Here is a 27309-nt window from a genome sequence, read left to right on the forward strand (position 1 = left end):
GCAGGAACAGGCCTTGGAGATGATCTAATTCTGACATTTTACTCAGTGAGGACACAGGTGGGGCAGCCAGAGAGGTACTCAGCTCTGAGTCAGGGCCCCATCCCTCAACTCCTCAGCCTGAGTCTTCCCAGGAACACAACAGGCAGCTGCTTCCCAGACCTTGCAGGGCTCCAGGTGGCCTTCCCCTCCTGCCGACTCCCTTGCCAGGTTTGCTGTAACTATTGCTCCTCCGAGCCTGGCTGAAATCATCTTCAGTCTGTTATCACCTTCAGTCTGTTCTCATCTTCAGTCTGTTCTCCACAGCAGCCTGAAAAGTCTTTGTAAAAATGCAGCTCTGTTCCTCCCCATCCTCTTCATAACCCCCTTGGCTCTCTGCTCCTCCCAGAATAAATACCCACATCCTCAGCTTACCCTTCAAGACGCTGAGTGACCTCTAGCCACAGCCCTTCTCTCTACCCACAGACAGCCCAGGTCCTCATTCCTTGGGCCTTTTCACATCACTGTTCCCATCACCCTGGAATCCCACTCAGCCTGCCTGGGCCAGAGGCTACGTAAGGTCCTCAGGAAAGCGTCTCCTGGCCACTCGCACCTGACTCATGTGCTCTGAGTGCCACACCTTGCTTGGCATTTGTCCTTCATAGCCCTGGTCATTGCTGGCTAATGTAGCCTGGCACATGGTGGTAGGTACTTGACAAATATTTGTTGAACAAGTGAATGAAACCAGCTGGCAGGGACCAGAAGGGCAGAGGGGCAGGGACAGTGTCCACAACCATAGCCCCTGTGGTCTTAGCTGAGAAGGGCTCTGGCTCGGTCTCTGGTGAGTCTCTCTGCTGGCCGGCAGAACCACCCTACCCTGGAAGCCCTCTCCATGTAGTGTGAGGGGTCTCAGGCCCATTCAGGCTTCAGTAGGAGAGATCTGGGTCTCTTCTGGGACCTGAGCAGGCCTTTCCTTTACCTCGTTGGCATCTCTCAGCATTTTATTTGGTTTTAAAAATGTCTCCCCCTTCCCCCGACCAACCCCAGATTATAAAGGTATCCCACGCTCACTGTGAAGAAATTGGATAACATAGGAAAATATAATTAAGAAAATCGAAATCACCTACAGCTCCACCCCTCAGAGAAAAGTACCCTTAACATTTGTGGCCATGTCTTTTCAGTTTTGTTTTTATGCATGTGTATGTGCTTTGACATTGCTGAGCTTCTCTTTGTGAAAACCACAGATTTTTCGCAGTCTTCAGTGGCTGCGGTCAGAGGTGGTCAGCACGTTAGTGCTCCCAGTGGAGAGGTGATGCAGGGATCTGGGTGCCCCTTTCTCCCTACTGCAGGTGGGTGGGTGGGCACACCCAAGGCCCCCTTCTGTGGCAGCTTTCCTATCCCTGGTGAAGAGTACCCTCCTGTCTCTGGTCTCTTCTCCAGGACATTCTCCAGCCCTGGAGGCTGTTCCTAGGGGGCTGCCTCTTGGGGCAATGGGAAGAATTGTGGAATGCGTGGGTGGCCTCCTGGCTGTCTTTTCTCTGGTTCCAGCACTCTCTGAACAAAACCAGCCCCAGGCCACTCCTGGGGATTGGCCTCAGGTGACTCTCTGGGCTGACTCTGGCCAGCTAGAAGGCCACCCGGGCTTCTCCTGTGTCCTTAAGAGGGTGGGGTGACCTGGATTGGCAAATAGTAAGCAGAGAACACGGCAGAGTTGCTGGCCTAGAAAACCAGGTCACTAGGTCAGCACTTGGATTAATGATTGATAAGAAAGGTTGGGAGAGAATCAGCCAGACCCATTCTCCCATGACATCCCTCACTTCTGATCCCAAAAGCACCTGCCACGGAGACGGGGCAACCTCTGTCTTGTATCCAGAGGCTGCCCCTTATTCCGTTGCAGTATGGGAGGAAGGAGGTGACAGCAACTGGGTCACCTGCATGTGGGGCGAGAAGGGGAGGAAGGTTTAGGCCCTTCTCCCTGAAAAAAGAAGCATGTGCCCAGAGTAGGGGGCTCCCTGCCGGTTCTCTCCCCACAATTGATGGTGAGGCAGGGAACTGGGAAGTTCTGTCTGTGGAGGTCCCTTGGGTTTCAGCAGGCTAGCACATTTCTAGGACTGGAATATCACCATACAATCCCTTAACACAAGCCATGGGTGATAATAATAGCAGCAGCCACTGTGGTCCTTATTTGTAGGACCCTTACTATCTACCTGGCACTGTTAAGCAGTTACTGCATCGTTATTTATTCCACACAGCAGCCTCTCAGGTTAGGTGGTAGTATTCCAGTTTTAATGTCTTCCCCAAGTCATAGGATGGGAGGGATGAGCCAGGGTGTGAACCCAGGCCTGACTGAAGCCGGTGGAATTCACTTCTTTGGAGTATTGCATCTCGATGGCAGTAATATATGAAAACTGATACAGTGGCAAGTGCTACAACTCAGAATAGTGTGGCTAAGGCTCATGTTTTTAGTATATTTATTCATCCAGCAAACGTATGTTGAGGACCCACTAAATGCCAGGCACCGTGCCAGGTGCTGGGACCTACCTCAGTAAGATACAGGGCATTCTCTGGGAAACTGATAACATGGTGAGGCCAGAGCAGTTAGCAGACATTGCAGTTTGGTGTAGTGATTGCAGATCTGGAGGGCCCGGGTCAGGGTTGTGGTGAGAAGGAACAGAATGGAGCTAGTCCAGGAGAGCTTCCCGGAAGAGGAGGTGCAGACAGGTCGCGAAGGAGAGAAGGTTTTAGCTAGTGGAGGGGATGGCATTCAAGGCAGGTGCCAGTTCAAGCCTCCATGCTCAGGGAGTGATGTGGGATCATGAGGCACATAGGCAGGCAGAGCAGGAGGATAGGCCTGGAGAGGGAGGCAGGGACGAGAGCCTGTGGCTGTCTTCAGCACACAGGAGTCATTTTCTGGCAGTAATGTCCAGAAGGGCTTTGACCAAGGTGTTCTTGACAGAAACAGCTGGGGACTGGCAGCCAGACAGAGGATTCAGAGGTGATGGCTCCAGACTGAGACTAAGGAGCCCCAGCTGGGCAAGGACATGCCAGCTCCTGGTCCAGTCTTACCCAGCACCATATATGAGGCACACAGTAGAGTGGCTAAGACTTGAGCCAACCTGCCTTGACTCAAATCCTGCTTCTCTAGTTACTGTGTGACCTTGAGCCAATTACTTTGCCTCTCTGTGCCATAATTTCCACGTCAGTTAAATGGAGATGATAATAGTACCTGCCTCTTAGGGTTGTTGTGAGGATTACATTTGCCAACATACACAGAGCATGGTGTGTAATAAGTCCTTGGAGAAGGGAAGCTAGTACTATTGTGATGGAGGTGGTGATCCAGCTTAGGCTCTGGTACAGTAAGAAGGTCCATCAGGCTGTACCATGTGGCAGATGGAGCCCATGGAGGATGGAGGCCCCTGGCACACTGACTGTCCCCACTCATCCCCTGGGTAGGGCAGAAGTGTTCCCACACCGTACAGCCTGCCAGTGGGCATCAGGGAAACACCTGAGTCACCACGAGGAGTACGAGGCACTTGGGGGTTGCCCAGCTGACCAGGAGCACAGAGGGCTGCCCTGAAAGTGAGCCCCTCCCTACTCCTAGCAGAGACGGGGAAGGGAGACAACTGGACTTGGTGGGAAGGACTGGGCCCCAGGTGGCTTAGTTGCTCTGGCCCCAGACCAGGTCTCTCTAGAGCTCTGGGCCATTTGGGTTAAGCTTCTAACTACCACTGCCCATGAAATTCACCTGCCAATGGGCAATGGATGGAGTCATGCCCCTCCCTGCACCTAAGTTCTCTGAAGGGCTGAGTTTCTTCTTGGGGCCAGACAGTGGGTATTGGAATGGGAGCATGGGGGCTGCATGTGCACTGCAGGCTTTGTGTGTGTGTGTGTGTGTGTGTGTGTGTGTGTGTGTGTGTGTGTGTACACACATACATATATGTCAGAATTGGAATAGTCCAGGGGTTTGTTTTGCAAGAAATCCTTTTATTTTTATTTTTTGAGATGGAGTCTTGCTCTGTTGCCAGGCTAGAGTGCAGTGGTGTGATTTTGGCTCACTGCAACCTCTGTCTCCCTAGTTCAAGCGATTCTCTTGCCTCAGCCTCCCAGGTAGCTGGGATTACAGGTGCGTGCCACCACACCCGGATAACCAGGGGTTTTGCCATGTTGGCCAGGGTAGTCTTGAACTCCTGACCTCAGGTGATCTGCCTGCCTCAGCCTCCCAAAGTGCTGGGATTATAGGTGTGAGCCCCCTTGCCCTTCCCCCATGCCCCATGCAAGAAATTATTTTGCTAGGGACTACTTTTTGGTGAGGGGCTACATTGCTGCATTCGTGCCCCCTCATTCTGGCTCAGGGCCCTTGTGTTGTCTGGGGGTCTGAAGCTCCAGCCTCTTAAGTGGGGCAAAGCTGTGACATGATCAGAGGGCTTCTGGCTCTGGCATAGTGCTGGGGCGTGGAGAGGGGAGATAGCCAACACTGGGAGCCAGACCAAAAAAAAAAAAAGCCAGGGTTTTTTGCCGGCATACAAATTAAACTTAGTGCCTGGCTGTATTGTGGTTGTTGTTGTTGTTTTGAGACAGAGTCTCCTCTGTCACCCAGGCTGGAGTGCAGTGGTGCGATCTCGGCCCACTGCAACCTCTGTCTCCCAGGTTCAGGCGATTCTCGTGCCTCAGCCACCCACGTAGCTGGGATTACAGGCGTGCGCCACCATGCCTGGCTAATTTTTGTATTTTTAGTAGAGATGGGGTTTCACCATGTTGGCCAGGCTGGTCTCGAACACCTGACCTCAAGTGATCCACCCACCTTGGCCTCCCAAAGTGCTGGGATTACAGGCATGAACCACCGCACCTGGACTTTTTTTTTTGTTTTTGAGACAGGGTCTCAATCTGTCCTCAGGCTGGAGTGCAGCAGTGCGATCTTGGCTCACTGAAACCTCTCCCCTCCGGGTTCAAGTGATTCTCGTGCCTCAGCCTCCGAGTAGCTGGGATTACAAATGTGCACCACCGCACCTATCTGATTTTTGTGTTTTTAGTAGAGACAGGGTTTTGCCATGTTGCCCAGGCTGGTCTCGAACTCCTAGCCTCATGTGATCTGCCTGCCTCAGCCTCTCAAAGTGCTGGGATTACAGGCATGAGCCATGCCCAGCCCAGCCTGTGCTATCTTTAGTGCCAGGGCTTAAGAAAGGAAGAGGAGAATAGGGTTCATTGCAGGAATTGTGGTGGGTGGGGTGGCAGCTACCTGAGAAAATCTAGACAGTGGGCCTAGGTCCAGTGGGTCAGGGGAGAGAGCCTAGGGGTCAAGGTTGCTCCTGGCTGGGCAAGCTGAGAACAGGGAGCAACCTTGGCTCAGGGTAGATGACAGACCTCAGCTGTAGATGGAGCAAGGAGGCCATATGAAAATGGCAGGCTTCTGGCAAAATGCAGGGATGGGCTGCAGCACAGCAGTTCAATCTAAATAGGAGCAGCCCAAGGGACGTGGGTAGGTTTTAGAACAGCCAGGCTACAGCTCCCCTTCCTCTTCACTGGTGTCCTTGAGAGGCCACAGTCAGAAGAGACAATTCCAGGCTAGGGAGAGATGTCAGCGTGGGAACTAGAGACCCTGGTCCCAAATTCAGAACTCTAGCCAGAGTCCAGAACTGCATCTGAGTCTAAGAGGCAACCACTTACTTACACCTCCCGAAACTGAGAACAGTTTTACCGGTTCTGGTGAAAAAAACCCACTACCAGCTCATATGTGGGAGTGGGAGCTGAGGCTCTGCTGAGTAACACGGCCCAGTGCACACAGCTGTCAGGGCCTGGCCCGGCTCGAGTCCTGCTGTGTCCGAAGCTCTGCCGTTTTCTGCTTCGTCCTCTAGCATGTTCTGAGATGCCCTGTTGGGATCCTCAGGCCTGTCACTTTTGTCATCTGCAAGGGGGGCCTATAAGGCCTTAATGGGGGCTGGCGAGGCTTGAGTGGGAGCGTGACGCATAGTGGGAGCTCAGTCAGCTCCCTCCCCTCCCTCCAGGATTTGGTCCTGACAGGGAGCTCCATCAGGTCTTCCCCAGGGTCACCAGAGGCTCAGATGCTGTGTTGTCAAGTATATATACCAGGCAGTATTGTAGCTTTTCCTCCTCTGTTACTGCCTGCTAAGCGGGGACCCCACATCTTCACGTCCTCCTCTTCCTGGCTCTCATCACCACAGCCTGGTGTGCATTGCCCCGTGTCCACTGACACCCACGCCACATGGGTCCAAAAACAGAGTGTGTTCTCATTGCCTCATCCCACTCACCCTGGGCTCTGCCGCCACTGCGCTGTGGCTCTCGGGGGTCCCACCATCTGACCCTTGTCACCCGTGCTGCTCCTTCTCTTGGGACTCATCCCTTCTGAGGCCTCCCGTGGCCCCTTCTCACCCTCCCCTACCTCCTCCATCTCCAGGCTTTCAATCTGGTGGAGCATAAAGAATCAGTGTTTCTGGTACTTGTTATTTGGATAATGGCACCTAATGCTAAATGACGAGTTAATGGGTGCAGCACACCAGCATCGCACATGTATATATAGGTAACTAACCTGCACATTGTGCACATGTACCCTAAAACTTAAAGTATAATAATAATAAAATAAATAAATAAATAAAATAAAATAAAATAAACTTTGAAAAAAAAGATTTCAGCTAAAATTAGTTTCCTCTCCATGCCGAGTCTGAATATATTATAAAAATAAAAGAATAATTGTCTTTCACACAATTAAAAAAAAAAAAAGCTGACTAATGCCACTACAGTCACACACTGCTGTTGGTAATTGCTAGGGTCCTTTTTCCAGTATTGTGGCCAACTTCCACCCCAGAACCCCACTCTACTCTTGAGCTAAGTGTCTTTATGTCTCCTATTTTAAATTAGGATTGCGTTCAGTTGCATGCAACAGAAATCCGGCAATCAGTGCCTGGTAAAACAAGTTTGATTTTTTCACCTAACAAGCAGTCTGGAGGCCGGCATTGCAGGGTGGGTCCAGCAGCTTTGGGAGGCCACAGTGGCCAGGTGCTTTCGGACTTTTCACCCACCCTCCTACCCTGTCTTCTGCTGCTCCGAAGGCAGCTGCTACACCTCTAGGCATAGTATTCCTGTTCCAGGCAGGAAGATGGGAGGGGCAGAAGTTTGTCTCTCTATTAGGAAATAATAGCTTTTTCGGAAGCTCCTCCTGGTAGATTTCTGTTCACATATTGCTGGTCAGAATTATGCCAATGAACACTGTAGCTGCAAGAGAGCTTGGGGAAATTGAGTGTTTAGGTAGGCACAGATTGCTGATCCAGAGAAGACTGAGACTCAGAAGGAAGGAGAATGGAGCTGGGGAGAAGTAGGAGTGACTGCCCCAGCTGCCACTTGGAGAAAGCCACGGGGTGAGCAGGACAGCACCTGTGAACATTTCCTGTGCTCTGGGTCTGGTGCTTCTCAAGTTTAACACCCAGGGGCGAGTGGTCAGGGACTGATCCTTGAGGAACTGATGTACATTAAACAAACTATCAAGTCCCTGCAATGCAGTGTAAATGAGTAAAGAGCCTGCAGGGGAGAAACTGCCACTAGTGGAGACCATGCGAGTGGGCAGCCGATTGCTTGGCTCTGGGGGTGGGTGCCAGAGGCATGCAGGTGCCCAAGGGCCAGGTCTGCCCAATTTTCAAGAGAAGCCAGAAAACCAAAATTTTTAAAGGTTTTTTCGTTCTAACTCTATTTTGAAAAAAGTTCGGTGTTACAGAGTAAGTTGCAGAGATTGTACAGAGTCCCCACATATCCTTTACCCAGCTCACATTAAATCTTACATAAAGGAACACTGGTACAATACTATTAACCAAAGTCAGTGTGTTGTTCAGACCTTACCAGTTTTTCTGCCACTGCCCCCTTTCTGCTTCGGGGATCTGGTCCAGGATCCCACATTCATTTAGTTGTGTCTCTGTGGTCTGCTCCTGTCTGTGAGGCTTCCTCAGTCACAAAGCTAGAGGTTTACGTGACCTTTTCCAGGTTTTCCCACTCTAATGATTTGGAAATCATACATCGGCATCTTGAGACATCTTTTGAGAAGTAAAGGGACTTGAGCTGATTGAATGTTGATCACTCCCTCTCATCTTCCACATTATTAAGTTTTGCCTTCTTATTTTATTATAATTTAAATTATTTTTAAGCCAGGCACAGTGGCTCATGCCTGTAATTCCAATACCTTGGTAGGCCAAGGTGGGCAGATTGCTTGAGCCCAGGAGTCCAAAACCAGCCGGGGCAACATAGCAAAACCTTATCCCTAAAAAAAAATACAGAAATTAGCTGGTGTGGTAGTGCACACCTGTGGTCCCAGCTACTTGGGTGGCTGAGGTGGGAGGATCCCTTGAGCACGGGAGATAAAGGCTGCAGTGAGCCATGATTGCGCCACTGCACTCCAGCCTAGGCGACAGAGTGAGACTGTCTCAAAAAACAATAACAACAACAACAAAAAAACCCATCAGAAAACAGCTAAGAGTTTTGTGGTGGTGTTTTATTTTAGGTTCAGGGTACAGATGCAGGTTTGTTATGTGGGTGAACTTGTGTCACAGGCGTTTATTATACAGATTATTTCATCACCCAGGTACTAAGACTAGTACCCGATAGTTATTTTTTCTGCTCCTCTCCTCCTCCCAGCCTCCACCCTCAAGTAGGCCCCGAGGTTATTGTTAAGTCCAAGCAAGGGAAGGCCTGGTGGAAATGAATGTGTAGCCTTAACATGTTTTGTACAAACTTGGCTGTACATTACAATCACCAGGACAATTAAAAAATAAGAAACCCAATGTCCAAGCTGCTCCCCAAACCAATCAAAGGAGAATCTCTGGGGATGGGACCAGGCATCTGTCTTTTTAAAAACTCCCCAGTGACTACAGTGTACAGCCGAGTTGGCAGGTCTAGAGCAGGGAGAGAGAGCAGAAGGAGTCTCTGATCACTCCAGGTTCTGGTTCTGATGAGTGGGTAGACAGGCAGGTGGGTTGCTAAAGTAAAGATTACTAGAGGACGAATGGGTTTGGGGAAAATGATGGGTTCTGTTTGGATAGATTGAGTTTGAGCTGTCGGTAAAATATCTGAGAGTTGGGGTCCCACAGATGCTTAACATCTTAAAGCAGATCTTTTCTTCTCCTGATCCTTCCACAAGGTCTGGTGCAGACATTTCCCCGCTGGGAGACTCTCCACAGTACCTCATGATCTTATCATCTCTGACTGTGGCATTTGTGGATAATGTTTTACTTGCTAAGGGTTGGAACTGTCTCCTCCTGGGTGATGTGGACGTGGCATCACCACCCAGTAAGTTGTCACCTTGGAAAGACTCCAGGATGGAGCACATCTTCCTTTTTCTGATGTCTCTGCTATTGAGGCCATGGTTGCAGATCTGCTGTCAACATGAGCCAAGAACAGCAGGGCTTTATGTCTTTTTTCCACACCCAACCACTGAAAGGATGGGACTCACCCCTTCAGGAACAGTAGCACAGCAGAGCCGTGATTCTTGGGCCTGAGTGCTGATAGGGACAGGGTCGGGGATGGGAGGCGTGATGCATATCTGGATCTCCAGGTGGGCTGGAGAGTTGGGAAAAGCCCCTCAAGTCATTCCAATGTGCTTCCTGGAGACTCAGAACAGAAGGCAGCAGAGGAGGCAGGGAAGGGTGGCACAGTGATGTGTCACCTCTCTAGTTTATGGAGCCTGCTCCGAACCCCACAAACCCACTACAAGAGCCAGGTGGGAAGGGTGATAGGGCAGGTGACTTGTGATACAAGGAGCAGAGACCATGGTATAGCACTGCAGGAACTAGGGAAGGAGCAGGAGCAGAAGAACCCCCTCCATGACAGCAGCCCCCAAGCGTGCCCCACTCGCACCATCCTCTTCCTTGTCACTGCCTCCCCTGACCTCTTCCTGTCTTCTCCTCTGCCCAGGCTGATGGGAACCACCCTGTAGAGGTCCATCTGCGTTCAGACCCAGACGATGCCAGAGCTATGACTGGGCCTGCAGGTGTGGCGCCGAGGGGAGATCAGCCATGGAGCAGCCACAGGAGGAAGCCCCTGAGGTCCGGGAAGAGGAGGAGAAAGAGGAAGTGGCAGAGGCAGAAGGAGCCCCAGAGCTCAATGGGGGACCACAGCATGCACTTCCTTCCAGCAGCTACACAGGTGAGGAGAGGACTGGCAGGGGACACGGGGCAGAGGAGGCACAGCCCAGTGCAGTGGGGATCCTGGCCCTCTGCAAACGCCATCATGTGGGGCGCAGAGTAGCAGAGTGCTGAAGGACTGGAGCCGGAAGCCTGGGTTCACGCCCAGTGCGGTGGGGATCTGCTCTGCCACTCACCAGCAGTGGGGCCTGGAGCAAGCTGCACCACTTCCTTCTGTAAAACAGGCCAAAGGATGGTAGGTGATGTGGATATGGGCTTTCGTGAGAATTAAATGAGTGGGCATCTGTAACACATGTCATCATCATTATTAGTATTCCCACCACTGTTAACACAAGGCATCTGAGACCAATCTCCACTAACAGCACACTAGAAAGATCAGCTGTACCTGGGATTGTTATGATCAGTCGAAACACACAGTTCAATTGGTCTGGTAATAATTATACACATCATCATTGAGCCGTATCATAATTAGATAAAAATGCTAAGCAGTTAGTATGAATAACTCAACTAATATTATTTTTATGCAGCCAAGCAGTTGTAGCTTCTCCTGTCTCACTTATTGGTTCCCCTTTATTTATCAGCAGTGCAGACAGTTTTCTCTAGTACCCTGTACTGTTCTGTCATCTTCATCATCATCATGTTATGTTTACCTTCAAAAGCACCCAGAATCCATGCAGCCCCTGGCTTTCCCTGCTGCAGTTCCCCCTGCTTTTTTGTTTTTGTGGTTTTTGAGACAAAGTCTCCTTCTGTTGCCCAGACTAGAGTGCAGTGGCACAGTCTCAGCTCACTGCAACCTCTGCCTCCTGGGTTCAAGTGATTCTCCTGCCTCAGCCTCCCGAGTAGCTGGGATTATAGGCGTGCACCACCACGCCCGGCTAATTTTTGTATTTTTTTAGTAAAGATGGGGTTTCACCATGTTGGCCAGGCTGGTCTCGAACCGCTGGGCTCAAGCAATCCACCCACCTCAGCCTCCCAAAGTGCTGGGATTACAAGCAGGAGCCACCGCGCCTGGCCTGATCCCTCTGCTTCTTGCTTTCTCCCACCACTTCTCTCCTTACCCAAGTGCTGCAGGCCTGCACATGCAGCTCATCCTCGCTCCTCCCCTTAGAGGGAACTCAGGGTCATAAGGATATACTGCTGGGAGTAGACACCCTGCACTCGCTGCTGCTTTCAGCTGCAGGAGATCCTAGCCACAGGCGGTGACTCAGGCAGAGGAGCAAGCCCACCCCGCAGAAATGGGCTCTGGACCCCTGTGACTGCATGGAGCAGGAGGAGGCAGTTAGTGTCCAAGCTAAGGCAGGGTGAAGGCTGTGGAGGTAGCGCAGGCTCCTGTTTGGGTCTGCAGCTAAGATGGGTCTGAATCCTGGAGCCACACCACCTTGAACCTGCAAAGCAAGTCCCAGAATTTTGCAGAAGTTCTTCCTCTTCAGTGTATAGAGTTGGGTGGAGGGAGTATAGAGCCATCATTCAGTCCTTCTCATCTCACCCAGGATCACCTGGGAGTGACCAAAGTAGGCCAAATGTGATTCTAGGGCCAAAGTGAAGGTGTCCGCCATTCCCCGAGTAAGCAACTTCCTGTCTATTGGCTGGTAACTGGGATGGCTTTGGAGACACAGCCTGTCTCAGAAGAGAGGAACAGCTAACCAGGAGTGATAATTCACTCAGTGCCAGTAGCACATACTGTTCTAAATCTGAAGAAGGTAGGGAGGGTTAGAAAGCAAAGGGAAGACAGTGGGGACTAAGAATGAGTGTGGGATGTCATGAGGATTCAGGGGAGAATGCAAGGAGAAGAGACGGCCACAGGGTTTGTGGCTATGCCGCCTGCCGTGGCCCACCTCATCCCCACATCTGAGCCCAGGCAGATGGAAGTCCCCTGCAGAGCAGTGTTCTGTCCTGGAGTTTCCTCCACACCCCTTCTTGGGACCAGGGCTGTTTCCCAAATAGCATCACTGTTCCCGTGCAGGCCAGGTGAGGTGCCTGGGAGCAGGGGTAGGGTGAGGCAGGCATGGCGGTGACCTCTCAGGCAGCTTCGTTGTGGGATTTAGGGCACAGCGGGAAACGTCCAGGGCAGAGGTTGCCTCACCAGTCACATGGTACTATGTAGGCGGTGGTGTTTAATAGATTCTGTTTATCAATAAGTGGATGAAGTGGAGATAGACTTCCTTGTTCAGTCATTGAAACAGGAGAGAGGGTTACTTGACATAATCACTTTGTGTTAAAGCTGTAGTGTATGAAAAGTTCCCAAAAATTCTACAAGACAAGCAACCTAGCAGGAAAATCAGAACAGGTAACAGTAAGACAAATACGAATGGCCTGAAATCCCGACAGGTTTTTCAGTCTAACCAACTCAAAGAAAGCACCTTAAGTTGCAATGCCATTTCACCTGTCAGATGGGTGGGGAGGACTTGGTCCTCCCACCACCAGGGGTGAAAGGGTAGTGTGGGCCAACACTTCTTAATGTGTGATTCTTTTTTTTTTTTTTTGAGACAGAGCCTGGCTCTGTCGCTCAGGCTGGAGTGCAGTGGCACACGATCTCAACTCACTGAAACCTCTGCCTCCCGGGCTCAAGCGATTCTCCTGCCTCAGCCTCCCAAGTAGCTGGAATTACAGGCGTGCACCACCGTGCCTGGCTAATTTTTGTATTTTTAGTAGAGATGGGGTTCCACTGTGTTGGCCAGGCTAGTCACGAACTCCTCAGGTGATCCTCCCGCCTCGGCCTCCCAAAGTGTTGGGATTTCAGGTGTGAGCCACCACACCTGGCCAAGTGTGCATTTCTTTTACCCTGCATTCCCACTTCTAGGAACGTGTCCTGTGTAAGTACTTGCTCAGCATGCTCAGAGATTCCCATGCCAGCTTATTTACTGCAGGACTGCTCATAAGAGCAAAAATAGGAACGTGCCCATCTGTGGGGAACTGGTTATGTAAACTGTGGTAGAGCCATATGGTGGAATACTCTGGAGTCATTGAAAAGGATAAGGCTGGTTTATATATATATTAAATAAGTTCCTGACAAGTTGGGGATCCCATTGTTTAAAATCCTTATGTTTCATAGAAGGCACCGGAAGAGTCTATACCGAAGGACTCAGGGGCTAACTCTGAGGAGCAGGATCATGGTTAAGGAGGCTGTGTCATAAGATCCTGCATACCCTTCTGTGTTTTTCTCAACAAGTCTGCACTACTTCCATAATTTGAAAGGCAACTGTACTTTTTTTAAGGGTAAAATTAACTGTTTAAAAGGGGGGTGAGGATCTGGCAGGTGAGGGGCCCTGGAGACAGAGCCTGATCATGTGTCCAGAGCAGAAGGGCTTGGAGATCACAGAGACCAGGGCAGGCATCCCAGGTCTGTCACTGTGAGCTGTAGCCCTCGCCAGTGCCATCACTTCTCCAAGTCTCATTCTCTTCACCTTTATAGGCTGTGTCCTACCCAGCCTGAGGGCCAGCCAGGTGAGAGTCAGTGGGGGTATGTGACACATCGCAGGTCTCAGCACCTGCTAGTTCTCTGCCCCATCCCCATGAGTTATTACTTTGGCCTCGGGAGTCCCCTGAGGGACCCATAAGGACAGCGCACAGCTTTGAGCCCTGAAACAGCAGGAAGGCTCCACAGTCACCCCTGACCACCCTCCTCAGCAGTTCAGCACTGACTCTCAGTGCAGATATTGAGCTCAACACCTGCCATGCACCTTCTCACCCTCCCCCCAGCCAGGCAGGACAGACCTTCCCATCAACAAGGAAACTGAGGTTACCAGAAACCCACTTGCCAGGGTCCCCTGGGCGTGTAGGAGTAGAGACAGCTAGAGCCAGGATTCACCTCCCATTCCCATTCTCATCCCTCCTGCTTCAGTGACATCCATCCCAATCACCCTTGAGAAAGAGGAAGATAAAGTGTCCTTCCTCCTGGCCTCAGCACCTCCTCACTTGGCAAGCACTTGGTGGGCATCAGGCTGGGCCCAGCACTGTGCCCAGGGCTGGCCATACAGTGGTGGACAAGGCTGAGTGCCTGTCCCAAGGAGCCCACAGTTCAGGCAAACAGGACAGCAGAAGTAAAGAGGCTGCTCAGTAACCCAGCCTCAAATCCCTGCAGAATTTGGCCTGACTTCAGAAGCTGCTGGGTGCTTGTTTGCCTGTGAGCTCTGCCAGCAAAGTAAATAGACCAATCGGGCGCCTCCTGGCTGTCTTCACAGCCATGACAACGGCATTCTCCCAGCATTGGAGGCTAGATATGCAGGAGAGCTCTCAGCCACAAATGATGTGAATAAGGTCAATAGTGTCTATTTGCTGAACTTGTCATCAAAGATGGTGAAACTGATACTTTACTCTCTGGGTGAGAGGGCTAGTGTTTACACTGAATCCAAACATTTGGATAATGACATGGTGCCTCCTCAGCAGTGACTGTGTCTTCTTGTTCATCATAATAATGTTATTGATTAGCGGTACTGAACATGTAGGTATGCGTAGTAGTGAGATGCCGAGGTTAAGAGCTCAGCTCCAGGAATTGCATGGTTCTAGGTTATAATTCTTGCTCTGTCACTGTATTAGTCAGGGTTCTCCAGAGAAGGAGAACCTGTGTGTGTGTGTGTGTGTGTGTGTTGAAAGAAAGAGATGTGTTTTAACGAATTGGTTCACACAGTTGTTGGAGTGGCAAGTCCAAATTTTGAAAGGCAGGCAGGCTGGAGAGCCGGGGAAGTTGATGTTGCAGCTCAAGTCCAAAGGCAGCCTGGAGGCAGAATTTCCTGTTCCACAGTGGGGCCACGGTAGGCACTCAGTCTTTTTTCTTAAGGCCTTCAGTTGTTGGATGAGGGCCACTCACATTATGGAGGGTAATCTGCTTTACTCAAAGTCTTCTGATTTAAATGTTAATTGCATCTAAAAAATATCTTCTTAGTGGCCGGGCACAGTGGCTCATGCCTGTAATCCCAGCACTTTGGGAGGCCAAGGTGGGTGGATCACCTGAGGTCAGGAATTCAAGACCAGCCCAGCCAACATGGTGAAACCCCATCTCTACTAAAAATACCAAAAAAAACTAGCTGGGCGCCTGTAATCCCAGCTACTCGGGGGGCTGAGGCAGGAGAATCGCTTGAACCCGGGAGGCAGAAGTTGCAGTGAGCTGAGATCGCGCCATTGCACTCCAGCCTGGGGAACAAAAGCGAGACTTCATCTCAAAAAAAAAAAAAAAAAAAAAAAAAAAAAAAAAAAACACCTTCTTAGCACATTGTTTGGTCAAACAACTGGGCACCGTGGCCTAATCAAGTTGATATGTAAGACCAACATAGCCGCTGCCAGCAAGTTACTAACACTTCTGAGCCTTGGAGCCTCGGCTTCCTTGCCTGTAAAGTGGGGGTAAGAAGACCATCTTGAAAGGTTGTTTTGAGGTTTTACGTGAGATGAAATGGGTGTCCAATGGAGTGCCTTTAGCAGGACACCTGCTTACCCCCACCTCTACCCAGGACATCATGATGCGGGGGAAGTGGTGGAACCTTCAGAACCCAGCCCCTAGTATGAGAAGAATTCTGCCATCACCTTTCTTTCAGCAGAGAGGGAAGCAGTCCCCTTCCGTGACAGTCACATGCGTGAGTGATGGCTCCTTCCAATATCCTGCACTTCTTACTGCCCCTTACCTGGCGTTGCTCCACTCTGTCTCATGTTCTAGTTTTCTTATCTCTTTCTCTTTTTTTTTCTATTTTATTTTTTTCCTGTAGGCACAAGTGAGTTACAGTAGGTTAAGTTACACCTTACCTTTCCTTGTTTTTCTTGTTTATTTATTTGTTTATTTATTTTTTTGAGACAAGGTCTTGTTCTGTCACCACAGGCTGGAGTACAGTGGTGCAATCACAGCTCACTGCAACCTGGACCTCCCAGGCTCAAGTCATCTTCCCACATTCAGGCAATCCTCCCACCTCAGCCTCCCAAGTATCTGGGACTACAGGCATGTGCCACCACACCCAGCTAGTTTTTAAAATTTTTTATAGAGATAGAGACAGGGTCTCACTATGTTGCCCAGGCTGGTCTCAAACTCCTGGGCTCAAGTGATCCTCCCGCCTCAGCCTCCCAAAGTGTTGGGATCACAGGTGTGAGCCACTGCACCTGGCCTTTTGTTTTTTTTAAGTAGAGACAGTCTTGCTTTATCACCCAGGCTGGTATACGATGGCACAATCACAGCTCTCCTAGGCTCAAGGATTTTCCTGCCTCAGCCTCCTCAGTAGCTGGCACTATAGGCAGGTGCCACGACACCCAACTATTTTTTTTTTTTTACTTTTTATAGAGACAGGGTCTCACTATGTTGCTCCTGGCCTCAGGTAATCCTCCTGCCTTGGCCTCCCAAAGTACTGCGATTACTGGCGTGAGCCACCACACTCAGCCGAGTGCAATGGCGCGATCTCAGCTCACTGCAGCCTCCGCCCCCCTGCCCCCGGGTTCAAGTGATTCTCCTTCCTTAGCCTCCCGAGTAGCTGGGACTACAGGCATGTGCCACCACGCCCAGCTAATTTTTGTATTTTTAGTAGAGATGGGGTTTCACCATGTTGGCCAGGATGGTTTCAATCTCTTGACCTCGTGATCCGCCCGCGTCGGCCTCCCAAAGTGCTGGGATTACAGGCGTGAGCCACCACACCCAGCCCTGCTGTTACCTCTTTCTTACCTCAGCTATTTGAGGATAGAGTCTAGGTCCTGTCCTGCATATAGAAGGTGCTTATCATGTGTCTTTTGAGTGAACACAGAGGGTGACATTGTCACGTGCAGTGCCAACAGAAACCAAATGACTAGACACCTGCTGACCTTCCATGGCCACAGGGAGGATGAGAAAGGCACCTCCAGGAGGTGTGAATAATCTGAGGGTATTGGCCACTGTGGACAAGACTCGGTGGTGGAAGTGAGCTCAGAGATCCAAAGGGAACGTGAGTAGAGACATGCAGAGTCTCGCAGAGGAAGCAGACGTGCAGGCCACAAAGACAAAATTACAAGAAATGCCCCAACACGAGCATATGCTCACGGACTGCACAGATTCAAGGAGGAAGTGCCAGAAACCCTGCCTGCCCCAGCATCTGCACAGGCATCCACAAAGGGTTTCTGTCATGTTATCTCTTTTTCTTCCAACATCCGGTGCTGTGAGTTTTATTGTCCCTGTTATAAATGCCTCCAGGAGTGGCAGGTCCTGCCCAGCCCCATCAGCCAGTTGGTGCTGCAGTCAGGACACCCAGGCAGCCTGAGGACTGCCAGATGTGCAGAGAGCTATCGCGTGCCTGCTGCGTGCCCAGCACCTCACACAGCTCTCAGTGTCTGACCACGCTGGTGCCCTGGTGGACAAAGTTCCTGCCCTTGTGGCCCTTTTGTCTAGTGGGTGGCTTCCAACAATGAACACACACAGGATATGTCAGGCGGTGACAAAGGCTACTGAGAAGACCAAAGCGGCTTCACCCTCCCAGAGCACAGCTTTTCCCTCCCAGGCCCGAGAGATGTAGGGAGCCCACTGTCCCAGTCTGGGTCAAGAGGAACAGTTACAACACCTTGGAATGACTGAAGTTGGGAGCTAAGGTGCCAGGACAAGACAGGCCATTTTAGGAACCAGAGACTTGTGTTACCCCTAAACCTCACCAGCCAGGAGGGGAGCAGCCCACTGGGTCCTCTCTGCCACAGTTGGGTGCTTCTTGTGCTCCCCCTCCTGTGGTCAGGATAGGGGAAGCAGGCTTTCCTGCTGCCACTCCTAGGACCCAAGGGGAAGCTGGGGGAGTGGGGAGACCATGTGGGAAGGATGGAGTGCACTTTGATTGGTAGCAGGTGGATAGGTACTCCCATGGTGGGGAAATCAAAGTTGCTTGGCCTGTGTAGTAGACAGGTATTACCACAGGCCTGGAAAACATTAGCCTGGGTTTATCTCTGTGGCTTCGGTCCCCCAACATCCCCTTCTACTCAAAATGGCTGATTCTCTGGTTTGGAGGTTTGGCACCTGCTTTTGGGGAGGTTGCTCAGTCATTAGAGAAGAGTGCAGAGGTTGGACGGTCATCATGGCAGAGGTAGGACAGCTGGTATGTGGGGCCATGAAACCAGCTTTGGGCTAGGAGTCAGGAAGCTGAGACTCAGTTCAGGTCCCCTTTCCAAGATGAAGAGATCATTTCCGAGTGTCCAAAGGGCACTGGGAAGAGAATCCTAGCAGTTCTTATGAAATCATCTGACAGCAGATATATCCTGAAGTCATAGCCTTAGCAAACTGCCTTTCTCGCCAACACACTCAACACCCCGTGGTTCAAACATCTATACGTCTGATAGAAAAACTTGGAGAAATTCAGTGTGTTGCTTAATCAATATGACTGATACCTAAGCTGTTCTACTCAAGAAGTTTTCATGGGAATGAACTTGAGCTTCTTGAAGAGATTGTTTACAGCATCCCTGGAGTCTATGCAAGAATAGAACTTCCTGTGGGGGATGGTGGGGAGGCTAGCTCTGCAGAGGTCTACAGTCCTGCAGTTTCTGCAAAACACGTTGCACACATCTCCATATGGGCCACACGGTGGCAACCTCTGAACCAGGAGAGCTGCTTCCTAAGGGCTAAGACCCTCTGTCTGCTTTCTCTCTCTTGCTTTCCTCCCAAAACACAGCCATCCTCCTCCCCACTGCTACCCCATGGTGAGTTCAGCCCAGGAAGCCTCTGACCCAGCCCTGATGGTAATAGCTGCTGTGTACTGGACATCTTCTGTATGTTAGGCTCTGGGAGAAATGCTGTGGAGACTTTTTGCCCATCCTCCCAGAGAAGCTGTCAGTACCCCCTGTTCTAGGTGAAGAAACTGGTCCTCAGAAAGGTTGACTCCCTGAGGCCACACAGCTGTTAAGTGGCTGAGGCGAGGGCTGTGGGGCTGTTCCCACGCCCTGGCTTCCAGGCCTGGCAGCATGTGGAGCTGCCCCTCCATCGTGTGTCCGCAGACCTCTCCCGGAGCTCCTCGCCACCCTCACTGCTGGACCAACTGCAGATGGGCTGTGACGGGGCCTCATGCGGCAGCCTCAACATGGAGTGCCGGGTGTGCGGGGACAAGGCATCGGGCTTCCACTACGGTGTTCATGCATGTGAGGGGTGCAAGGTACGGACTGGGGGGAGCGGTGGCTGGCCACTGAGGCTGTGGTCACATGGTGAATTGACCCTCCACAAAGCTTTCCTTGCCTTGGGGTGGGGCCCTGACTGTACCTATTGCAGAATTCCTGCCCAGGAGGCAGCCAGGCCCTTGTGCTCCAGACCTCAGCTCTGGGCACTGCAGGAGAAGAGGGGGTTCCCTTGTCAAGCCTACCCTGCTGGGCACCTGTGTTGACCCAGCTCTGTGGGTGATTGTGTCCCCCTGGGGACCAGGCAGCTAGGGCAGAATGAGGGTCTTGGGCTGAGCCATCGTCTTACCTGAGGTCTGGGTTTCTTGTTTCTCAAGGCTCAAAGCGGGCTCTGAGAAAAAAGGACAGACATTTGTTTTTCCAGTGATATTTGTGGGTCCTTCCTAACTTCACACCCATCAAAATCTCACAGATTATTTTATTGAATCACCACCTCACAAATACACAGAACCAGATACATTTATGAAGAAATCAAGTTAGCCGTGAGACAATCTTATGTTACCAAACTAACAAAGAAGCTTTTTTTTTTTTTTTTTTTTTTTTTGAGATGGAATCTCGATCTGTCGCCCAGGCTGGAGTGCAGTGGCGTGATCTCAGTTAACTGCAACCTCCACCTCCCGGGTTCAGGAGATTCTCCTGCCTGAGCCTCCAGAGTAGCTGGGATTACAGGTACATGCCACCATGCCTGGCTAATTTTTGTATTTTTAGTAGAGATGGGGTTTCACCACATTGGCCAGGCTGGTCTCGAACTCCTGACCTCAGGTGATCCACCTGCCTTGGCCTCCCAAAGTGCTAGGATTACAGGTGTGAACCACTGTGCCTGACCCAATTTTTGTAGTTTTAATAGGGACGGGGTTTCACCATGTTGGCTAGGCTGGTCTTGAACTCCTGACCTCAGGTGATCCACCCACCTCGGCCTCCCAAAGTGCTGGGATTACAGGCGTGAGCCACTGTGTCCAGCCCCAACAAAGAAGCTTTAGGACTTCTTTAGACATTTAAAATAGTTGTGTTTTTTTTTTGTTTTGTTTTGTTTTATTTTGTTTTGTTTTGTTTTGAGATGGAGTTTCACTCTTGTTGTCCAGGCTGGAGTGTAATGGCGCGATCTTGGCTGACTGCAACCTCCACCTCCCGGGTTCAAGCGATTCCCCTGCCTCAGCCTCCTGAGTAGCTGGGATTACAGGGGTGTGCCACTACACCCAGCTAATTTTTCTGTATTTTTAGTAGAGACGGGGTTTCACCATGTTGGCCAGGCTGGTCTCAAACTCCTGACCTCAGGTGATCCGCCCACCTCGGCCTCTCAAAGTGCTGGGATTACAGGCGTGAGCCACTGTGCCTGAACTAAAATAGTTTTAATTAAAGTTTTAGAATTACTTTCCTTCTCCATCTCCCCTCCAAAAAAATTTCTTCTCGTTACTTCCAAATGTCAGGAGTGTTTACACCTTATACATAATCGGGCCCTTTGGCACAGCCTCCCTCCCACCTCCTGGTGGCCTTTCCTCACCTGTTCTTGGTGCTTCAGGGCTTCTTCCGTCGTACGATCCGCATGAAGCTGGAGTACGAGAAGTGTGAGCGCAGCTGCAAGATTCAGAAGAAGAACCGCAACAAGTGCCAGTACTGCCGCTTCCAGAAGTGCCTGGCACTGGGCATGTCACACAACGGTGAGAGCTGACCAGGGCAACTCACGGGCTGCTGGCTCCACACAGCCTGAAACCAAGGTCCAGGGAGCCCTTGGGGCAGCCTAGAGGGGGCACCTGTAGAGCAGTGCCTGGCGCACAGTAAGCACCATGGCTGTTGGCTGTTGGCTTTGCTGATCTGGACCTTGGATCTTAGAGCCTAAGACCTGCCACTTCCTCAGACTGCCAGCATCTACCATGGGTCCCAGGCGTGGGGTAGTGTTTACCTCCCTATACCTGAGGTTTACGCATTCTGGCCCAGAAGGGAACTGATAATTGATACCAGCTTGAACAATTTGGGGAACACCAGTCCCAGAAACTCAAGCCTGTCTCAGATGACCTGACACAGCATGAAAGCTACTGCCAAGGCCAGGTGGCCCTTCTTGGTTATAGAAGGCAGGCAGTAACCAGTAAGTAACCACATTTGTCAACTGCCAGGAGCCAGGCAGAAGTTTCTTGGAGGTCACCCACTCCCAGGAGACAGAGCCTTCTCTGCCCTGTGCTCCAGGCCTCCTGCAGAGCCTTGTCTTCGGACCCCAGGGTAGGATATTGCAAAGCCCACCTGTCCCCTCAGTACCTCTCTGAGTAAGACCCCTAGAGGACAGGGGAGAGCCTCTTGTGATCTCTACAGGCAGGTTAGCTGCTTGGCCAGCTTTTACCCAGGGATGCCCTAACTGCCTTGCATCTTAGAGGGTAGCAGTACCTGAGCCCTCCATTTGCGGCTCTCCTGGGTAATGGGGTCTGGCAGGTCTGGGTTTGACTCCTTTCTTAGGAAATCTCGGAACTGACTGAATCCCTCTCCTTACGCTAACTCCAGGAGAAGTCGAATTCGTATCCTACTCAATTACTAATGACAACAATTTTTGAGTGCTTACTATGTGAGGATTCTTATTTAATTGATCTAATAACTCAGTAAGTTTTAAAAAGTATTAGCCTCATTTTTCTGATTAAAAAAGAAAAGTGGCCAGGTGCAGTGGCTCACACCTGTAATCCCATCACTTTGGGAGGCCAAGGTAGGAGGATTGCTTGAGTCCAGGAGTTTAAGACCAGCCTGAGCAACATAGTGAGACCTCATCTCTACAAAAAAAAAAAAAAAAAAAAAAAAAATTTAGCCAGGCTTGGTGGCGTGCACCTGTAGTCCCAGCTACTCAGAAGGCTGAGGCGGGAGGATCACTTTAGCCCAGGAGGTCAAGGCTGCAGTGAGCCATGATTGTGCCACTGTACTCCAGCCTGGATGAGAGTGAGACCCTGTCTCAAAACAAAAAAAGAAAAAGGCTGGGCATGGTGGCACATGCCTATAATCCTAGCACTTTGGGAGGCCAAGGCGAGTGGATCACCTGAGGTCAGCAGTTCAAGACCAGCCTGGCCAAGATGGTGAAACTCTGTCTCTACTAAAAAAAAAATACAAAAATTAGCCAGGCATGGTGGTGGGCGCCTATAATCCCAGCTACTCGGGAGGCTGAGACAGAGAATTGCTTGAACCCGGGAGGCAGAGGTTGCAGTGAGCCGAGATCGTGCCACTGCACTCCAGCCTGGGAGACAGAGCGAGACTCTGTCTCAAAAAAAAAAAAAGAAAAGAAAAAGAAAAGTGAAGGAGTCTGCCCCAAGTCACAAAGCTAGTAAACTGCTGAGCTGGAACTCAAGCCCAGGCCTTTGTCACCAAAGTCTGTCTTACCCCAGCTAGCGTAGCTCAGTCACTCAGTAAGTTAGAGTCCTTGTGTGCTGGGCACTGTGAACAAAACAGACAAAATCACTGCTCTTGCAAAGATACACCAAAAAAAAAAAAAAATCACATCTTGTGGAGCTTGCGATCTGGAGGGGCCACCCCATCATTCCTACCTTGCTGACTCTAGAGCTTCTGGGGGCCTTAGGCTCCAAAAGGATTTGGCCCATGCACCTGTAAAGGGATGGGGATGTCAGAGGTGCTGGGGCCTGCCTGGGCTCCTTGCTGACTGCCCCCTTCCCTGTGCAGCTATCCGTTTTGGTCGGATGCCGGAGGCTGAGAAGAGGAAGCTGGTGGCAGGGCTGACTGCAAACGAGGGGAGCCAGTACAACCCACAGGTGGCCGACCTGAAGGCCTTCTCCAAGCACATCTACAATGCCTACCTGAAAAACTTCAACATGACCAAAAAGAAGGCCCGCAGCATCCTCACCGGCAAAGCCAGCCACACGGCGGTGAGTGTTGCTGCTGCTTGGCCTGGCAGCATCCTGGGCTCTGGGTCCCACTGCCGCCTGCCTGACTCCGGGAGAGCCAGGCCTTCTCCCTCCCTCAACTTCATGGTGCAGGCAAGGGACATGGGGAGCACAGGGTGGGGGTCTCCCGAGGCCTGATCTCTAACGGGGCCTGGTTTTCAGCCCTTTGTGATCCACGACATCGAGACATTGTGGCAGGCAGAGAAGGGGCTGGTGTGGAAGCAGTTGGTGAATGGCCTGCCTCCCTACAAGGAGATCAGCGTGCACGTCTTCTACCGCTGCCAGTGCACCACAGTGGAGACCGTGCGGGAGCTCACTGAGTTCGCCAAGAGCATCCCCAGCTTCAGCAGCCTCTTCCTCAACGACCAGGTTACCCTTCTCAAGTATGGCGTGCACGAGGCCATCTTCGCCATGCTGGCCTCTATCGTCAACAAGGACGGGCTGCTGGTAGCCAACGGCAGTGGCTTTGTCACCCGTGAGTTCCTGCGCAGCCTCCGCAAACCCTTCAGTGATATCATTGAGCCTAAGTTTGAATTTGCTGTCAAGTTCAACGCCCTGGAACTTGATGACAGTGACCTGGCCCTATTCATTGCGGCCATCATTCTGTGTGGAGGTGAGTGAGAGTGGGGCAGGTGGGCTGGCCTGGCACACCCAGTCGTCCTGGGGGTTGGCCCTCACTGCAGGGCACTGTGCCTGAGCTCTGACAGTGTGGGGAAGTGTCCCTGTGATCTTGGCAGTGGAACATGCAAGGCACTGACTGAGCATGCAGGATCAGCTCCATCTCATTATGTACGTAGATAGAGGTGGAGACAGGAAAAAGACTAAGCCAGACGTGGTGGCTCACACCTGTAATCCCAGCACTTTGGCAGGCCGAGGCGGGTGGATCACTTGAGGTCAGGAGTTCGAAACCAGCCTGGCCAACATGGTGAAACCCCGTCTCTACTAAAAATACAAAAAATTAGCCAGATGTGGTGGCACGCGCCTGTAATCCCAGCTACTTGGGAGGCTGAGCCAGGAGAATCGCTTGAACCCGAGAGGTGGAGGTTGCAGTGAGCCAAAATCCCACCACTGCACTCCAGCCTGGGTGACAGAGTGAGACCCTGTCTCAAAAAAAAGGAAAAGGACTAACAGGCAGTATGCTGTCATGTTAATGTGGGGTGGAAAAATTGTCTGCATTTTTTCTGCATTTTTAAAATTCCAACACAATAAATACAATAATAACTATGCTAACTAACAGTGGTCTAGAGCTTACTTCATGCCAGGCACTGTTCTTTTCATCGATGATGACTCACTTGATCCTCACAACAACCCTGTGCAGGAAGAATGTTTTGTGTCTCCATTTTACACATCAGAGAGGCTGAATGACCTGCCTATAGCCTCACAGGCAGACACAGGATTTGAATTAAGCATTGAGTCTCTTAACCACAATACTACGTTGCCTAATCGGGGGGGAGGTGGGGACAAATTGGCAAAAAACAAAAGAAGTGGATTAAGACCAGGGGTAGGGAGATTAGAACACCCAGTGGAGCATTGCTGATGGGACAGGGCTTGGTCTGTCACGGCCAAGGAGGCCTGCCGTCCCCTGGGCCAAGTCACCTCTTGGGGTGGAAGTAGGGGAGCTCCACTGCCTTTCTGAGCTCCCTGGCGTGCCCTGTGTCCCCACAGACCGGCCAGGCCTCATGAACGTTCCACGGGTGGAGGCTATCCAGGACACCATCCTGCGTGCCCTCGAATTCCACCTGCAGGCCAACCACCCTGATGCCCAGTACCTCTTCCCCAAGCTGCTGCAGAAGATGGCTGACCTGCGGCAACTGGTCACCGAGCACGCCCAGATGATGCAGCGGATCAAGAAGACCGAAACCGAGACCTCGCTGCACCCTCTGCTCCAGGAGATCTACAAGGACATGTACTAACGGCGGCACCCAGGCCTCCCTGCAGACTCCAATGGGGCCAGCACTGGAGGGGCCCACCCACATGACTTTTCCATTGACCAGCCCTTGAGCACCCGGCCTGGAGCAGCAGAGTCCCACGATCGCCCTCAGACACATGACACCCACGGCCTCTGGCTCCCTGTGCCCTCTCTCCCGCTTCCTCCAGCCAGCTCTCTTCCTGTCTTTGTTGTCTCCCTCTTTCTCAGTTCCTCTTTCTTTTCTAATTCCTGTTGCTCTGTTTCTTCCTTTCTGTAGGTTTCTCTCTTCCCTTCTCCCTTGCCCTCCCTTTCTCTCTCCACCCCCCACGTCTGTCCTCCTTTCTTATTCTGTGAGATGTTTTGTATTATTTCACCAGCAGCATAGAACAGGACCTCTGCTTTTGCACACCTTTTCCCCAGGAGCAGAAGAGAGTGGGGCCTGCCCTCTGCCCCATCATTGCACCTGCAGGCTTAGGTCCTCACTTCTGTCTCCTGTCTTCAGAGCAAAAGACTTGAGCCATCCAAAGAAACACTAAGCTCTCTGGGCCTGGGTTCCAGGGAAGGCTAAGCATGGCCTGGACTGACTGCAGCCCCCTATAGTCATGGGGTCCCTGCTGCAAAGGACAGTGGGCAGGAGGCCCCAGGCTGAGAGCCAGATGCCTCCCCAAGACTGTCATTGCCCCTCCGATGCTGAGGCCACCCACTGACCCAACTGATCCTGCTCCAGCAGCACACCTCAGCCCCACTGACACCCAGTGTCCTTCCATCTTCACACTGGTTTGCCAGGCCAATGTTGCTGATGGCCCCCTGCACTGGCCGCTGGACGGCACTCTCCCAGCTTGGAAGTAGGCAGGGTTCCCTCCAGGTGGGCCCCCACCTCACTGAAGAGGAGCAAGTCTCAAGAGAAGGAGGGGGGATTGGTGGTTGGAGGAAGCAGCACACCCAATTCTGCCCCTAGGACTCGGGGTCTGAGTCCTGGGGTCAGGCCAGGGAGAGCTCGGGGCAGGCCTTCCGCCAGCACTCCCACTGCCCCCCTGCCCAGTAGCAGCCGCCCACATTGTGTCAGCATCCAGGGCCAGGGCCTGGCCTCACATCCCCCTGCTCCTTTCTCTAGCTGGCTCCACGGGAGTTCAGGCCCCACTCCCCCTGAAGCTGCCCCTCCAGCACACACACATAAGCACTGAAATCACTTTACCTGCAGGCTCCATGCACCTCCCTTCCCTCCCTGAGGCAGGTGAGAACCCAGAGAGAGGGGCCTGCAGGTGAGCAGGCAGGGCTGGGCCAGGTCTCCGGGGAGGCAGGGGTCCTGCAGGTCCTGGTGGGTCAGCCCAGCACCTGCTCCCAGTGGGAGCTTCCCGGGATAAACTGAGCCTGTTCATTCTGATGTCCATTTGTCCCAATAGCTCTACTGCCCTCCCCTTCCCCTTTACTCAGCCCAGCTGGCCACCTAGAAGTCTCCCTGCACAGCCTCTAGTGTCCGGGGACCTTGTGGGACCAGTCCCACACCGCTGGTCCCTGCCCTCCCCTGCTCCCAGGTTGAGGTGCGCTCACCTCAGAGCAGGGCCAAAGCACAGCTGGGCATGCCATGTCTGAGCGGCGCAGAGCCCTCCAGGCCTGCAGGGGCAAGGGGCTGGCTGGAGTCTCAGAGCACAGAGGTAGGAGAACTGGGGTTCAAGCCCAGGCTTCCTGGGTCCTGCCTGGTCCTCCCTCCCAAGGAGCCATTCTGTGTGTGACTCTGGGTGGAAGTGCCCAGCCCCTGCCCCTACGGGCGCTGCAGCCTCCCTTCCATGCCCCAGGATCACTCTCTGCTGGCAGGATTCTTCCCGCTCCCCACCTACCCAGCTGATGGGGGTTGGGGTGCTTCCTTTCAGGCCAAGGCTATGAAGGGACAGCTGCTGGGACCCACCTCCCCCTCCCCGGCCACATGCCGCGTCCCTGCCCCGACCCGGGTCTGGTGCTGAGGATACAGCTCTTCTCAGTGTCTGAACAATCTCCAAAATTGAAATGTATATTTTTGCTAGGAGCCCCAGCTTCCTGTGTTTTTAATATAAATAGTGTACACAGACTGACGAAACTTTAAATAAATGGGAATTAAATATTTAAGAGCTGACTGGAAGCTGACTCAGTTACTTGCATGTTTTTCCTGGGGCTTACAGGGCTCCACGCCTCCTCCACATCCAGTACTGGAGGGCAAAGGAGGCTTTGGGCTCCAAAACCCTCCCCTGCCTCCACCTCGCTTTGCTCACCGCTTGTCAGTCAGGTGGACGACTATGCCATTTCCGCCCTGCAGAGAGAATTTGGGGTGTGAGGGGACAAAGGACTTGTGGTGCCCTGG

The 27309-nt window shown here is 51.9% G+C and overlaps 1 protein-coding gene across 35 annotated transcripts in view, besides 2 other annotated features; it reads left to right on the forward strand.

Moving 5' to 3' along the window:
* Window positions 1-27077, forward strand: part of PPARD (peroxisome proliferator activated receptor delta) — an 85621-nt gene extending 58544 nt beyond the window's left edge. For 22 of the 35 annotated variants that reach the window (XM_047418925.1, XM_017010974.2, XM_005249193.2 and 19 more), the window contains 6 exons: window positions 9886-10116; window positions 19026-19180; window positions 20719-20857; window positions 22845-23047; window positions 23228-23678; window positions 24731-27077. In XM_047418925.1, the coding sequence (XP_047274881.1) occupies window positions 9987-10116; window positions 19026-19180; window positions 20719-20857; window positions 22845-23047; window positions 23228-23678; window positions 24731-24978 (1326 nt within the window). In that variant the 5' untranslated portion in view covers window positions 9886-9986 and the 3' untranslated portion in view covers window positions 24979-27077. Of the gene's footprint in view, window positions 1-9112; window positions 9262-9885; window positions 10117-19025; window positions 19181-20718; window positions 20858-22844; window positions 23048-23227; window positions 24300-24730 lie in introns of those variants that run through there. The other 13 variants (XM_047418935.1, XM_047418934.1, XM_047418933.1 and 10 more) reach the window with 5 other exon arrangements.
* Window positions 9554-10087: an enhancer, noted in NCBI's record as "H3K27ac-H3K4me1 hESC enhancer chr6:35378432-35378965 (GRCh37/hg19 assembly coordinates)". NCBI's record gives its function as "activates a minimal SCP1, AML or CMV promoter by ChIP-STARR-seq in primed H9 embryonic stem cells {active_cell/tissue: H9 hESC(primed)}" and the evidence as "EXISTENCE:reporter gene assay evidence [ECO:0000049][PMID:30033119]".
* Window positions 10088-10620: an enhancer, noted in NCBI's record as "H3K27ac-H3K4me1 hESC enhancer chr6:35378966-35379498 (GRCh37/hg19 assembly coordinates)". NCBI's record gives its function as "activates a minimal SCP1, AML or CMV promoter by ChIP-STARR-seq in primed H9 embryonic stem cells {active_cell/tissue: H9 hESC(primed)}" and the evidence as "EXISTENCE:reporter gene assay evidence [ECO:0000049][PMID:30033119]".

Source organism: Homo sapiens, chromosome 6 (assembly GCF_000001405.40).
Source record: "Homo sapiens chromosome 6, GRCh38.p14 Primary Assembly".
NCBI classification, from domain to species: domain Eukaryota; kingdom Metazoa; phylum Chordata; class Mammalia; order Primates; family Hominidae; genus Homo; species Homo sapiens.